General features: G+C 41.9%; 1 annotated feature.

The window, feature by feature from the left end:
- Positions 10,299-11,498: an enhancer, noted in NCBI's record as "MED14-independent group 3 enhancer chr8:132798484-132799683 (GRCh37/hg19 assembly coordinates)". NCBI's record gives its function as "activates an origin of replication core promoter dependent on BRD2, BRD4, P300/CBP and CDK7 cofactors, and independent of MED14, by STARR-seq in HCT116 cells {active_cell/tissue: HCT116}" and the evidence as "EXISTENCE:reporter gene assay evidence [ECO:0000049][PMID:35650434]".

Below are 12,493 nucleotides of genomic sequence, written 5' to 3'. Positions count from 1 at the left end.
TGAGCTTGGCTGCATCCAGGTGTTCATACTTTCATCACTGGAATATCTCTCCATCTCTTGGCTAATTCTCTTCTGTGTTGCCTTCTCTGTGAGCCCTAATGGTGGACCCTGCTCTACCAGCCTTATTCCCTGTCTTCTCAGCAGCTCCAGGTGAGAGAGAAAGATTTCCCAATCATTCCCACACATGTTTCGTGATCGACATCCATCGTGCTGGTGTGAATTGCATGTCTATTCTTGAATCAGTCGCTGTGACCAAGGAGATGGAGCACAGGATGATGGAGCAGGCCTGTGGGATATGATTATCTCTGGAGCCAGAGGCAGAGGTCAGCCCCAGGTAAATCACATGGCCAGAGATGAGGAGATGGAATCTCCCATTGGAAAATCAGGGCTTATATAAGAAAAGGAAATTCTGCATCTGAGGATACTAAAAGAATATCTGTGTATTGCATGACCTGCTTTTGACTGGTCCCTCCTACTTAAATTTAACCCTAAACTTACCCCAGTGGAAAACAGTGAAAGGAATACGGCTTTGTAGTTAGCAAACCTGTTTGAATCTTTGCTTTCCCAGTTCCTGGCTGAGTGATCTTGGGTAAGTTGCTTAACATCCATGAGCCTTAAACTTCTCTTCTTAAAGTGGGAATGATAATGCTTTCTTCCCAGTATTTGTTTTGAGATTTAAATTGTACCATCTATGGGTCCTGGCACATAGCAGTTATTCAGTTTATGTCAGTTCTCTCTTCCTTTCTGACCCATACTTGAGCTTGTTACACCATGTATGTACTTGGGCTACCCCAGAGAAACTATTTTCATCAATTTTGCCCATGCTTTCTCTTTGTTATCACATTAGTGATATCAGAAGATCCATCCATCTATCCATGCATCCATCTATCCATGCATCCATCTATCCATGCATCCATCTATTATAACGAATAATAATTATAAAAAGGGCAATAATTCTGCCCTTTCTTCTGCCTGGCCTGTCTCTTCCCAAGCCTTTTGATTTTTTTCTTTAATATAGGAAAAGTTGAGGATTTGATTAGGTAGGTTAGGGTTCTTCATGACACTGATGGTCTATAGTTCTACTGGGCTGAGTCACTCTTTGGAACAGCCTCTCAGCTCCAGGCCTTGCCTCAGTTGCAGGCTTAGCCAAGCCCCCTTATGGTTCCATCCATCTCACTGGTAGCTGTATGAGTAGTGGAACACAGAGTCTAATTGTTTAGGTCATAGACTCACTTGCATTATCATCCCTGAGTGAGTGGTTCTAAGGCTTACTTTCTGAGGTAAGAAAATGGTGGTGGTAGTGGCAGTGGTGGTGTTAAGGGAAGAATAACTAGAGTAATAAGTCCTGTAGGAATGTAAGTCATGTGTCTCTGCTACAGAGAGCCCTGAAATGGGCTTCAGGCACTTGTGCAGCCCACAATGAAATAGTACTTAAATTCACACTTCCTCTTACTTGGGTGTGTATTTATGGCCTTCAGAACTCTAAGGGGAGGTCAAAATGATAGGAAGGGCAGTATATATATCATTCCTAATGCCTTGACCTTAATGCCATCAACCCTTACCTAGAATGCCCGACAGTAGCTATTATCATTAAGTATCTTCTGCATGTTAGGCATGTACTAAGTGCTTTACATATATTATTTTATTTATTCATCTATCAAAGTAAACATAGATGCATCATCCATCTATCTGTGTCCATCCATCCATCCTTCCATCCATCCATCCGACCTTCCAGTCCATCCATCTGACCTTCTTATCTATCTATTATCTATCAACTATCAACTATCTATCTATCTATCTATCTATCTATCTATCTATCTATCTATCTTCTATCACCTATCTATCCATCCAACCATTCATCATTACTTGAATGTGTCTTCTGTGTCAAGCCCTGGTCTAGGTAGACCACAGTCTAGGAAATTTTGGACTTTTTTGCTCCTTACCCCTAAGAAACCTTCATCTTCTTCCATGCCAACTAAGTTATGAGGTCACTGCTGGTTTGAAGACTTAGCAAGTTCTCCCACTGACACTCAGGCTTGTTATGGGGATAAAATGAGATAAAAGATGTGGAAAATCTTCAGTACCATAAGGCTCTAAGCAAACCCAGAAGGTTGTTCTTTGCTCAACTTTCAGAACTGTGAAAGGAGAGAATGGAGCAGGCACTGTATTAGTTTCTTATTGTTTCTACAATAAATTACCACAAATTTAGTTGCTTAAAAAGACCACAACTTTATTATCCTGCAATTGGAGGTAAAAAGTACAAAATAGCTCTGACAAGACTAACATCAAGGTGTTGGCAGGGCTATGTTCCTTGGGAAGACATCTGAGAAATATCGATTTCCTTGTGTTTCTAGCTTCTAGAGTCTGCCCATAGAGCTTCTGTTGTGGCCTCTTCCTCCACCTCTGAAGTCAACAATTGCATTCCTTTGACCTCTGCGTTTATTGTCACATTTTCTTTTCTGACTCATCTACTTTGTCTATTTCCTCTTTCCTTTTTAAGGCCCCTTGAGGTACATCAAGTCTACCTTGGTAATCCAGGATAATCTTCCTATTTTAAGATTCTTAATCACATCTGTAAAGTATTTTTTGCCCTATAAATTAATATATTCTCAGTTGATGCATTCACAGGTTCTGAGGATTATGACGTGGGTATCTTTGGAGAGCTACTACTCTGCCTCCCACAGGCATTATCACCATCTGTGCTCTCTTGCAGAAGTTACTAAGCCCAAGTTTTCCCATTTGCAAAACGGGCCTTATAATAGCATCACAATCATAGAATTGTTGTGAAGATTAAATGTGGAAACACTTATGAAGTATTTAGCACAATTGGTGGGACATAGTAAGTGCTCATTAAATTATAGATAGGATGATGATGATGATGAGTTCCTGTGTAGTAATCCCCTCTTTAGCTTACATGGGGATAGAGGCCAAATAGAGAGTTAAAGAATGGCTTTCCATTCTACTGGTTTTATTCTTCTAATAAAAGTCTAGACACTGTCTTTGGGATGAATTGGCCTACTATGACTCTTTTTTCAATTTAAAAAACTTGGACCAATTTTTCAAGAAAAAAATAATTGTTTGCCATTATCAGAAACATAACTTTAAGTTCACAAAAAGATGTTTGTGTGTCAGCATGTGTGGGGAATAAGAGTGTGGAGAAGGTGTGGGAAGAACGATAAAATGTCTTTGCCCAGGGCCATAATGGTTATGACATCCAGAGCTTGAATCTTGTTTCATTTTCCTTCGTTTTTTTGCCTGCAAAGGAAATATCTGAATCTGCCAAAGCAATTTCATTTTTCATATACAAGGAATACAGTTATCCATTCCAAATAGTGTTCAGAATAAAACTTAATTGAAAACGTAATCAAACTGAGAAATTGCTTGACCAGCTGGGGTCACATTCATAAAGAGCTGTCTGTTTATCCCTCAACCACGACAGGGTCTGGTGCCATTGTCCCATCATTCAATGTCCCTGCTCTGAGGGAGCCCCCTCAATCTAGCTGCTCTGTATTGCTGAAAGGTCACCAGTCAGAGAAACAGAGAGCAAGCTCTAACTGGGAAAGCAACAAAATAGGTCCCTTTTGATTTCATTGCAGATTTCCTGCTTTCAGAGTTTGAATTGTTTGTTAGACAATTGAGGTTTCACTGCTTTCGAAGAGGGCTCGTGCTGTGTCACTGGTTATGTAAGAACTTCTTGATTTTGGTTGAGAGACTCTGGCCCTGGTAGCCCAGACTCTTCCCTCCCATCTCCTTCTTGAAGCTAATCTATGTAAATAGGTCATAGCATTTCCTCCAGCAGAAACCCAGAACCCTGGGATAATAACATTGGGAAGGCTCATGTTAGTTGGTGGTGTTTGCAGAGGAATAATTGTGCCATTCTGTGAGATGGATAGAGACAAAAAGGAACATAAGTCTAGAATCTTAAATATTCTTATGGGCTGCATTGTGTCCTCTTGTTCTCCCAAATTCATATGTTAAAGTCTTAACCCTCAGTAACTCAGGAAGTGACTATATTTGGAGATAGAATCTTCAAGGAGGTAATTAAGTTAAAAATGAGGTTATTAGGGCGGCCCTAACCCAATATGACTGGCGTGCTCATAAAAAGAGGAAATTGGGACACAGATGTACAGAGGGAATAATACCACGTGAAGATATAGGGAGAAGACAGCCATCTGCAAACCAAGGAGGAAGGCCTTAGAATAAATCAAACCTGCCAACACCTTGATCTTGGACTTCCAGCCTCCAGAATTGTGAGAAAATAAATTTCTGTTGTTTAAGCCACCCAGTTTGTGGTATGTTGCTATGGCAGCCCTAGCAAACTAAGACACGGACCTAGGATTTACATCCTGCCTCCTTGCATAACATTAAGCAAATCACTAGATTTCTCTGAGTTTCAGTTTTTCCCTTCTGAAAAACGTGTTAGTAATAGTCATTTTTCTGCAAATTACACAAGGTTGCTGGTGAGAGTGAAACTGGATCAAGTCTGTGAAGAGTTCTGTTATATGCCTCTCACCCAGGCTAAGTGGCCAAAAAATAAATGGTCTTATGACTTTTCAGCTAGCCACCATGTAAACCAGGATGGTGATTTGATTTCACTTCTTGTGCCATGTTGGAATAATCTGTCATGATATTTTGGAATGTTGAGATGAGGTAGGTTGTAAGAATATGTGAAAATTCAGTGGGAAGAGCACCTTGATTGAGTTGAAGCAGTTGTACTATGGATTTAGGAGGAGAGGGAGGTAGCAAGTGTGCCCTTCCTTTGTCAACTAAAGTCAGAGGTCATCTACTCTACATCTTCTATAATATCACTAAATCAGTTGAGATTTTTCCTGCTTTTTAAAAATTCTCTTTAGGTAATGTTATCTCAAACACATTATAGCATTTGTCTTTTAATTTTTAAATCTTATTCTTTGTATTAGTTTCCTATGGCTACTGTAACAAATTACTATAACCTTGGTGGCTTAAAGCAATACAAATTTATTTACTAACAATTCTGGAGGCCAGAAGTGCAATATTAGCCCCACTAGGCCAAAATCAAGGTGGTGGCAGGGCTGATTCCTTCTGGTGGCTCTTGGAGAGGATCTGTTGTTTTTTTTTTTCTAGCTTCAGAAGGCTGCCTGCCTTCCTTGTCTCATGCCGCCTTCCTTGTCTCATGCCGCCTTCCTTAAATCACTCCTGTTGTCACATCTCCTATTTCCTCCTTTGACATTCTTACCTTGCAGGACCTCTGTAATGACTTAGGGTTTACCTGGATAATACAGGATAGTAGCTCCAACTCCAAATCCTTAACTTAATCACATCTTCAAGTCCACTTTGCCATATATGGTAGTGTTTTCAAGTTTTGGGGTACAATATGGATATTTGGGGTAGGGGGCGTTTTTCAGCCTACCATATAGCATCCAAAAGGAAAGTGGAAAATGTCAAGAACAGAATCTTTCCCTAATTGTCTTAATTGTTAGCTTTGTGGCCTTGGGAAAGTCACTTAACCTCTCTGAGCCTGTTTCCTCAAATGCCCAATGAGCGTGACATTACCCACCTCATTGGGTTGCTTTGAGAATTCGGTTACATGAAATATATGGGAAACAGTTAATATAGTTCCAAGAACACAGCAGGCTCTTAGTAAATGGTAGCTATTTTGTTTCATTTGCTCTAGTTTTGTCGTTCCAAATTTATATACACTCTCTAACTTATTTTTTTCTTTTTGTTTTTCACAGAAAGAGCCATCTCAGACCCAATTCTCTCTTGCCCTTAGTTAGTCTAGCACAGAGGCGCTAAGTCCTACAGGGGCATTGGCTGGTTACCTGCAGGCATGCAGGCAGGCGAATATTTTTAACCTCAAGGAGATCAAGACGGGCTTAGCCCTTCTCCACACATCAGAGGTCAAGTTCTCTTTCCAGTAACAGAGAACGTGATACCTTCGGCTCCAACTCTAGTTCCCAGGACTAGAAATCATGAGATATTTAACCAGCCCAAGGCCTCCTGCGTCCACCCACTGTCCAGCCTGAGATCCCTTGCTGCTTGGCCTGTGGCAGCGTGGGCCCCATCATACCCCAGCCTTCTGCCTTGTTCTGAGATTGCCCTTTGTTTCTGCTTCTTTCCAAGTCTGACAAACTACGCGATGCCTCAGTCTTATATGTAATCACTTGCCACACTCTTGCCAGCTTTATCCCCAGAAATTAGGATCTTGTCTTAAAACCCAGTTCAGGAGGGAGGAGTGATTCCTCACTGATAATGCTCCCTGATACCAGCTCAAGCCTCAGATTCGCCTGTAGTTGTGTTTGGTCTTTCTGTTGGGACAAAACATTCATCCATCTATCCATCCACTGTTTATTGAGCCCCTATCATAGCCCCGGCTGACAGAGATGAATAAAATATAGTCCTGGCTCTCATGAAACTCACACTCCAATGAATAACACAAATAAGTAAACAGATAGTTATACAATACAGTGTGAAACATAATTCAATTAATATTTAAAAGAAGGCCAATGGGACCTCAGAAGAGGAGGTGGTTAATTTTGAGGTGAGAAGCTAGAGGAGCCTTCACAGAGGGGATGATGCTGGGGCTGGAGTTAGAGACTAAGTAGGAGATTGGCAAGTGGATAAGGAAGGGCATTACTCCTGCCAGCTGCTTGTCAAGCCTGAAACCGGGTGTCTTCCAATTCCAGAGTGGTTCCTTCCAATTCTCAACTCTCCCAGAGAGTAGCTGCTATCTACTGGATTGAGTTCTTCTCTAAATTCAGATGTTGGCATCCTAACCTCCACTGTGACTGCATTTGGACAGTGTGCTTATAAGGAGATAATTAAGGTTAAATGAGGTCCTGAGGGTAGGCCCCTAATCTGATAGGGTTGGTGCTCTTATAAGAAGAGGAAGAGGCACCAGAAATCTCTTTCTTCACCATGCGAAGACACATCAAGAAGGTGGCAGTTTACACGCCAGGAAGAGATTCTTCATCAGAAAATAAGTTGGCCAACTCCTTAATCTTGGACCTCCCAGAGCTGTGAGAAAATAACCTTTTGTTGTTTAAGCCACCAGTGTGTGGTATTTTATTTATTATGACAGCCCTAGCTGACAAAGCTGGCAGCTGAAGTAAATTTGTGCTTTTGGCTCCCCAGCAGACACACTGTAGGTGAAGAACAGATATTTACTGAATGAAAACAGACTGAGTGCCTTAAATACGTCTTCCCACTTCATCATGACACTACAAAAAAAAGAAATTTTTATCCCCATTTTAAAGATGAACAATTATTGAGGCTCAGATGGCGCCAATGAGTTGCCTGAAGTCATTTAGTAGAGCTGGAATTTAAACTTAGATCTGTTGGGTGCAAAGTTTGAGCATTTGCTCTCTAGGTAAGGATTGATTCTAAAAGGAGTAAAGCCTTATTTGCCCATCCTTTGGTGTCATTTAGTAGAGCTGGACTTTAAACTTAGATCTGTTGGGTGCAAAGTTTGACCATTTGCTCTCTAGGTAAGGATTGTTTCTAAAAGGAGTAAAGCCCCATTTGCCTATCCTTTGGTTCCATTCAGGCAATCCCGTTCAGCCAGGCCCTGCACCTGCTCTGGGTTCATCCTAGGGACTCTAAGGATGTGTCAGCAGGGCTTTGGGTTTCAGGAATGGGCTCCATTAACTTCTAACTTTGACTGTGTCGCCCCCCACCCATTTCCCCAATCAGCCACAGAACAGTTTAACAGGGCTGTATCCTTCTGCTGTGTGCATTTATGAGTGCACCCCATAAATCTCCAGAATTGATACACACACTGAGCAGAATAACTCACCCCACCTGAGCCTGCTGTTTAGGAACTGAGCTGACCCACGTGATGAATGGCTGGTCTCTTTTGGATGCAATGTTATGCTGCAGGAAGGGTGAATATCTGATACAGTAATCTTCTGAGATGTTATAAATGAAACTGGTTTGTTATTTCTGTCTCTGCCTTAAGGAAGTTGTAAGAGTATCTTTAGAGAAGTGTGCCTGATTTCATTATCAGTGCACATGTATTGAGCACCTGCTGTGTGCCATGATAGGCTCTGGGGGTTCAGGGAAGACTCAGATACAGTCTCTGCCAAGAGTGAGCTGCTGCCTAAATAGACATGTGCGCCCCTGTGTGTAGCTCGAGCTACACAGCTGTAGGGAAGGCCCTTAAGCTGTTGAGGCCTCACTGTGCTGATCTGAAACTTGGACCAAAGGACTCATTTTTTTTGTTGTTACCAAACAGCCTCTGGCAATATACCCAGCCCTGTGCCTGGCACATGGGAGGTGCCCATGCATCTGTGTGTCCTAGAAAGGTGTAAAAGCCAGCAGCGTGGGTGATGAGCGTGCAGGGGTGACTCTTCTTTAAAGAAACTGGAGCAGTAGCTCAGCCCTGAAAAGAGCACTTAATAAAACATTCACTGCTCATCACAACTTGACCCTTGTCTGCCAAGGTAGATGGGCCTGTTCTGAGACCAAGCCAGATAGAGAATGATAATTCAACCACTTCTAGGTCAGGGGGTTTTGTGAACTCTCTTGGTGGAATTATGTGTTCATTGATTTTTTATAAGTAAAAGTCATTTCTGGATATGCAGGCTGTGGGAAGTGATCTAAATCACTTAATATAAGATTATTGCCTCGTTGTTTTCAAATATATAGGATTAGGAATCAGAAAAAAAGGTGTGATTAAAAACATTCTTTGGAGTCAGTGTGTAAATTCCAGATGTGTCCTTCGCTAGCTGCGTGACCCTGGGGCTATATCTCCCCTTCTCTGAGCTTCTTTTTCATGATCAATCACCAATAAGTGAACAAAAAATGATTATAATATCCATTTAATGATTATAATATCCATTTATAGTTGTCATAAGGAAAGCATTGACATTTTCTATGTAAAGTGCATACAACATGTAACCAGCTCTTTATCAGTAATAGCAGTTATTACTAGGAAGAAAAAGATGAAACAAGAGCCAGAATGAATAAAAGAAATGCTAAAGGGCCAGGTACAATGGCTTACACCCGTAATCCCAGCACTTTGGGAGGCCAAGGTGGGCAGATCACTTGAGGCCAGGAGTTCGAGACTGGCCTGATCAACATGGTGAAACCCCATCTCTACTAAAAATACCAAAATTAGCTGGGCATGGTGGCACACGCCTGTAATCCCAGCTACTTGGGAGGCTGAGGCAGGAGAATCACTTGAACCTGGGAGGCGGAGGTTGCAGTGAGCTAAGATCGCACCACTGTACCCAGCCTGGTGACAGAGAAAGACTCCGTCAAAAAATAAAATAAAATAAAAATAAATAAATAAATAAATAAAAATAAAGAGAAAAGAAAAGGAAAATGAAAGGATAACAATAAGGATGGGTGGAGAAAGATGATAAAATGGAAGGACAAATGAGGCAAAGGTGCTGTCTTCTCATGTTTGAAGAGTTTTTGATAAATAAAGTGTCACAAACTCTTGGTTTCCTCAAAGACATTTTTTGATTAGGATCGATGTTTACAAGTGGTAGAGAAGCAGGTATTGTTTAATATGAAGAACAGTAACTAAAGAAGACATTTATATAGGGGTAAGATGAAGAGATGATAGGGGTATTGAGTGAACGATTTCTGTAGAATACATAATCTTTTTAATAATTTTGCAGTTTCTTACACATAATGCATCTTCCTAAATATATATTGAGTAAATCCTTTGGTCCTGTGAATAATACCAACAAACACTCTCTAAAGCCCGGACTGCGTGCCAAGCCTTGGGTTAAATACTTCTTTGTTACATCTAGCAGCCCTGTGGCAACTCTCAGAGGGAGGTGCTATTATTACCTCTTTTTAGGGATGAGGAGGCTCAATAACTGGCCCGAGAACCAAGGGGCAGGTTTGGATTTTAAAATTATGAAAGAAGGCATTCAAAACCTCATGGCCTTTATTATCTATTACCCACGTGCTCTATGATTTATTTGTTGACATTACCTATCAGTTTCTCACTCTGGACTGTGAGCTCCTCAGATACATGAATGTATTTATTATGGTACCTTTTGTGCACAGTGGCTCCAGGCAGAAAAAGGGTTATTTCAAAATAATATGTATTTTGAATTTCGAAAGAATGAATTTGTGTATTTTGAAAGAATCAATTTGTGAATTAGGATTCAAGCATTTTGAAAGAATGAATTTGTGAATTAGGGCTCAAGAGAAAAGAGAATACAAAAAAAATGAAGGGAAAGGGTGGAGAATATGTTATTGAGTGCCTAATGTGTGTTGAAGTTTGAGGCATTTTATTTACAGCATAGAGCCTCATTCTAGGAGACCTTCCTCTCCTGCGGAGACTAAAAAGCTGAAAGCTTCCATTTCAGACATACCCGGTGCTAACATAGGTTCGTTCAACCAGATGCACTTCAGTGAGACTTGGGAAGTGGGGCAGGGTTTACCAGTCCCTTTATCATGGGGCCTTTACTTCCTCTTCTAGCCTCATCTAATAATCCTCTTTTGCCTTTTAGGCTTCACTCCAGTTATCCTGATTTTTTTTCCATTGTCCTATTGTGTCCAGAATCGGTTCCTTCCGGTGGGTTCTTGGTCTTGCTGACTTCAAGAATGAAGCCGTAGACCCTCGCAGTGAGTGTCACAGTTCTTAAAGATGGTGTGTCCAGCGTTTCTTCCTTCTGGTGGGTTCGTGGTCTTGCTGACTTCAGGAGTGAAGCCGCAGACCTTTGCAGTGAGTGTTACAGCTCTTAAAGGTGGCGCGTCCGGAGTTGTTCATTCCTCCCAGTGTGTTCGTGGTCTCACTGGCTTCACAGGAGTGAAGCTGCAGACCTTCACGGTGAGTGTTACAGCTCATAAAGGTAGTGTGGACCCAAAGAGTGACCAGCAGCAAGATTTATTGCGAATAGCAAAAGAACAAAGCCACCGCACGGTGAAAGGGGACCCCAGCAGGTTGCTGCTGCTGGTGCAGAGTGGCCAGCTTTTATTCCCTTATTTGGCCCCACCCACGTCCTGGTGACTGGTCTATTTTACAGAGTGCTGATTGGTCTACTTTACAGAGTGCTGATTGGTGCATTTTTACAGACAGCTGATTGGTGTGTTTACAATCCTTTAGCTAGACACAGAGCACTGATTGGGGCATTTACAATCCTTTAGCTAGACCAAAAGTTCTCCAAGTCCCCACCTGACCCAGAAGCCAGGCTGGTTTCACCTCTTACTATTTGCCTAGAACTCCCTTGATCCTATGCTAAGATCTTTGTTCACTCTATAATTTCCTGGCTAACTCCTACTACTTCTTTATAACTTAGCTTACAGACCACTTCCTACAGGCAGCCTTCTGTGATTCCCACAGTCTAGCTTAGTAGAATTCAAAACATGCTGCTAGGGTTCCATTTCCTGGTTATTCAATCAAATACTAATACAGATACTGCTGTGAAGAGATATTGCAGATATGATTAAAATCCCAAGTGAGGTGGTTATAAAAAGAGGACGTTATCTGGGTTGACCTAAACTAATCACACTTGCCCTTAAAAGCGTAGAATTTTCTTTGGCTAGTGGCAGAAGAGGAAGGCAAAAGGAAAGTCAGAGAGAGTCAAAGATTCAGAGTGCTATTTCTGGTTTGAAGATGTGTAGAGCCATCTGAGAAAGAACTGGAGAGACTAGCAGTCACTAGAAGGAGCAAAGAGTCCCCCACAAGAAAACGGGAAACTCAGTCTTACCTTCCCATGGAACTGAATTCTGCCCATGGTCTGAATAATCTTTGAAGTAAATTCTTTCTGCAAGCCTCCAGGTAAGAGCCTTGCCTGGCTAACACCTTAATTTTGGCCTTGTGAGGCCATGAACAAATAATCTAGCTGAAATACCCAGACTTCTGACCTACAGAATGGGGAAATTATGCCTGGTTGTTGTTTAAGCTGGAGGTCCCCAACCCCTGACTGCAGACGGTACTGGTCCTGCCCGTGGCCTGTAAGGAACTGGGCCGCACAGCAGGAGGTGAGTGACAGGCAAGCGAGTATTACTGCCTGAACTCCACCTCCTGTCAGATCGGTGGCTGCATTAGATTCTTACAGGAGCACAAATCCTATTGTGAACTGAGCGTGTCAGGGCTCTAGGTTGTGTGCTCCTTATGAAAATCAAATGCCTGATGATCTGAGGTGGAATAGTTACATCCTGAAACCATCCCCCCTCCCCTGTCCGTGTTAAAATTGTCTCCATGAAGCAGGTCCCTGGTGTCCAAAAGGTTGAGGACCGCTGGTTTAAGCCACTAAACTTGTGGTAATTTGGTTCATAGTATTAGAAAACTAGTATCTTTGCTCTGTGATCCCTTGTCATTCTGTGATCTTCCTGTTCTCGCAGTTACATTGTAAGGGCTTATTACATTACCTCTCCCACTAGATTGAGAGTTCTCTTAGAGTAGCCACAGTGCTGGGGTTGCTCGTGGTTGCATTTCCCAATGCCAAGCACACTGCCTGAACACAGAAGGCACGAATGAATGTTCGTTAAATAAGGAAGCAGAGTTCCACAGAGAGGGGCTGTGATGATGCTCCAGACCTCAGTAGGA

The sequence above is a fragment of the Homo sapiens genome, chromosome 8 (assembly GCF_000001405.40).
Source record: "Homo sapiens chromosome 8, GRCh38.p14 Primary Assembly".
Taxonomy (NCBI): domain Eukaryota; kingdom Metazoa; phylum Chordata; class Mammalia; order Primates; family Hominidae; genus Homo; species Homo sapiens.
Note: the sequence above shows the minus strand (reverse complement) of the source record. Positions and strands in the feature narration are given on the sequence as shown.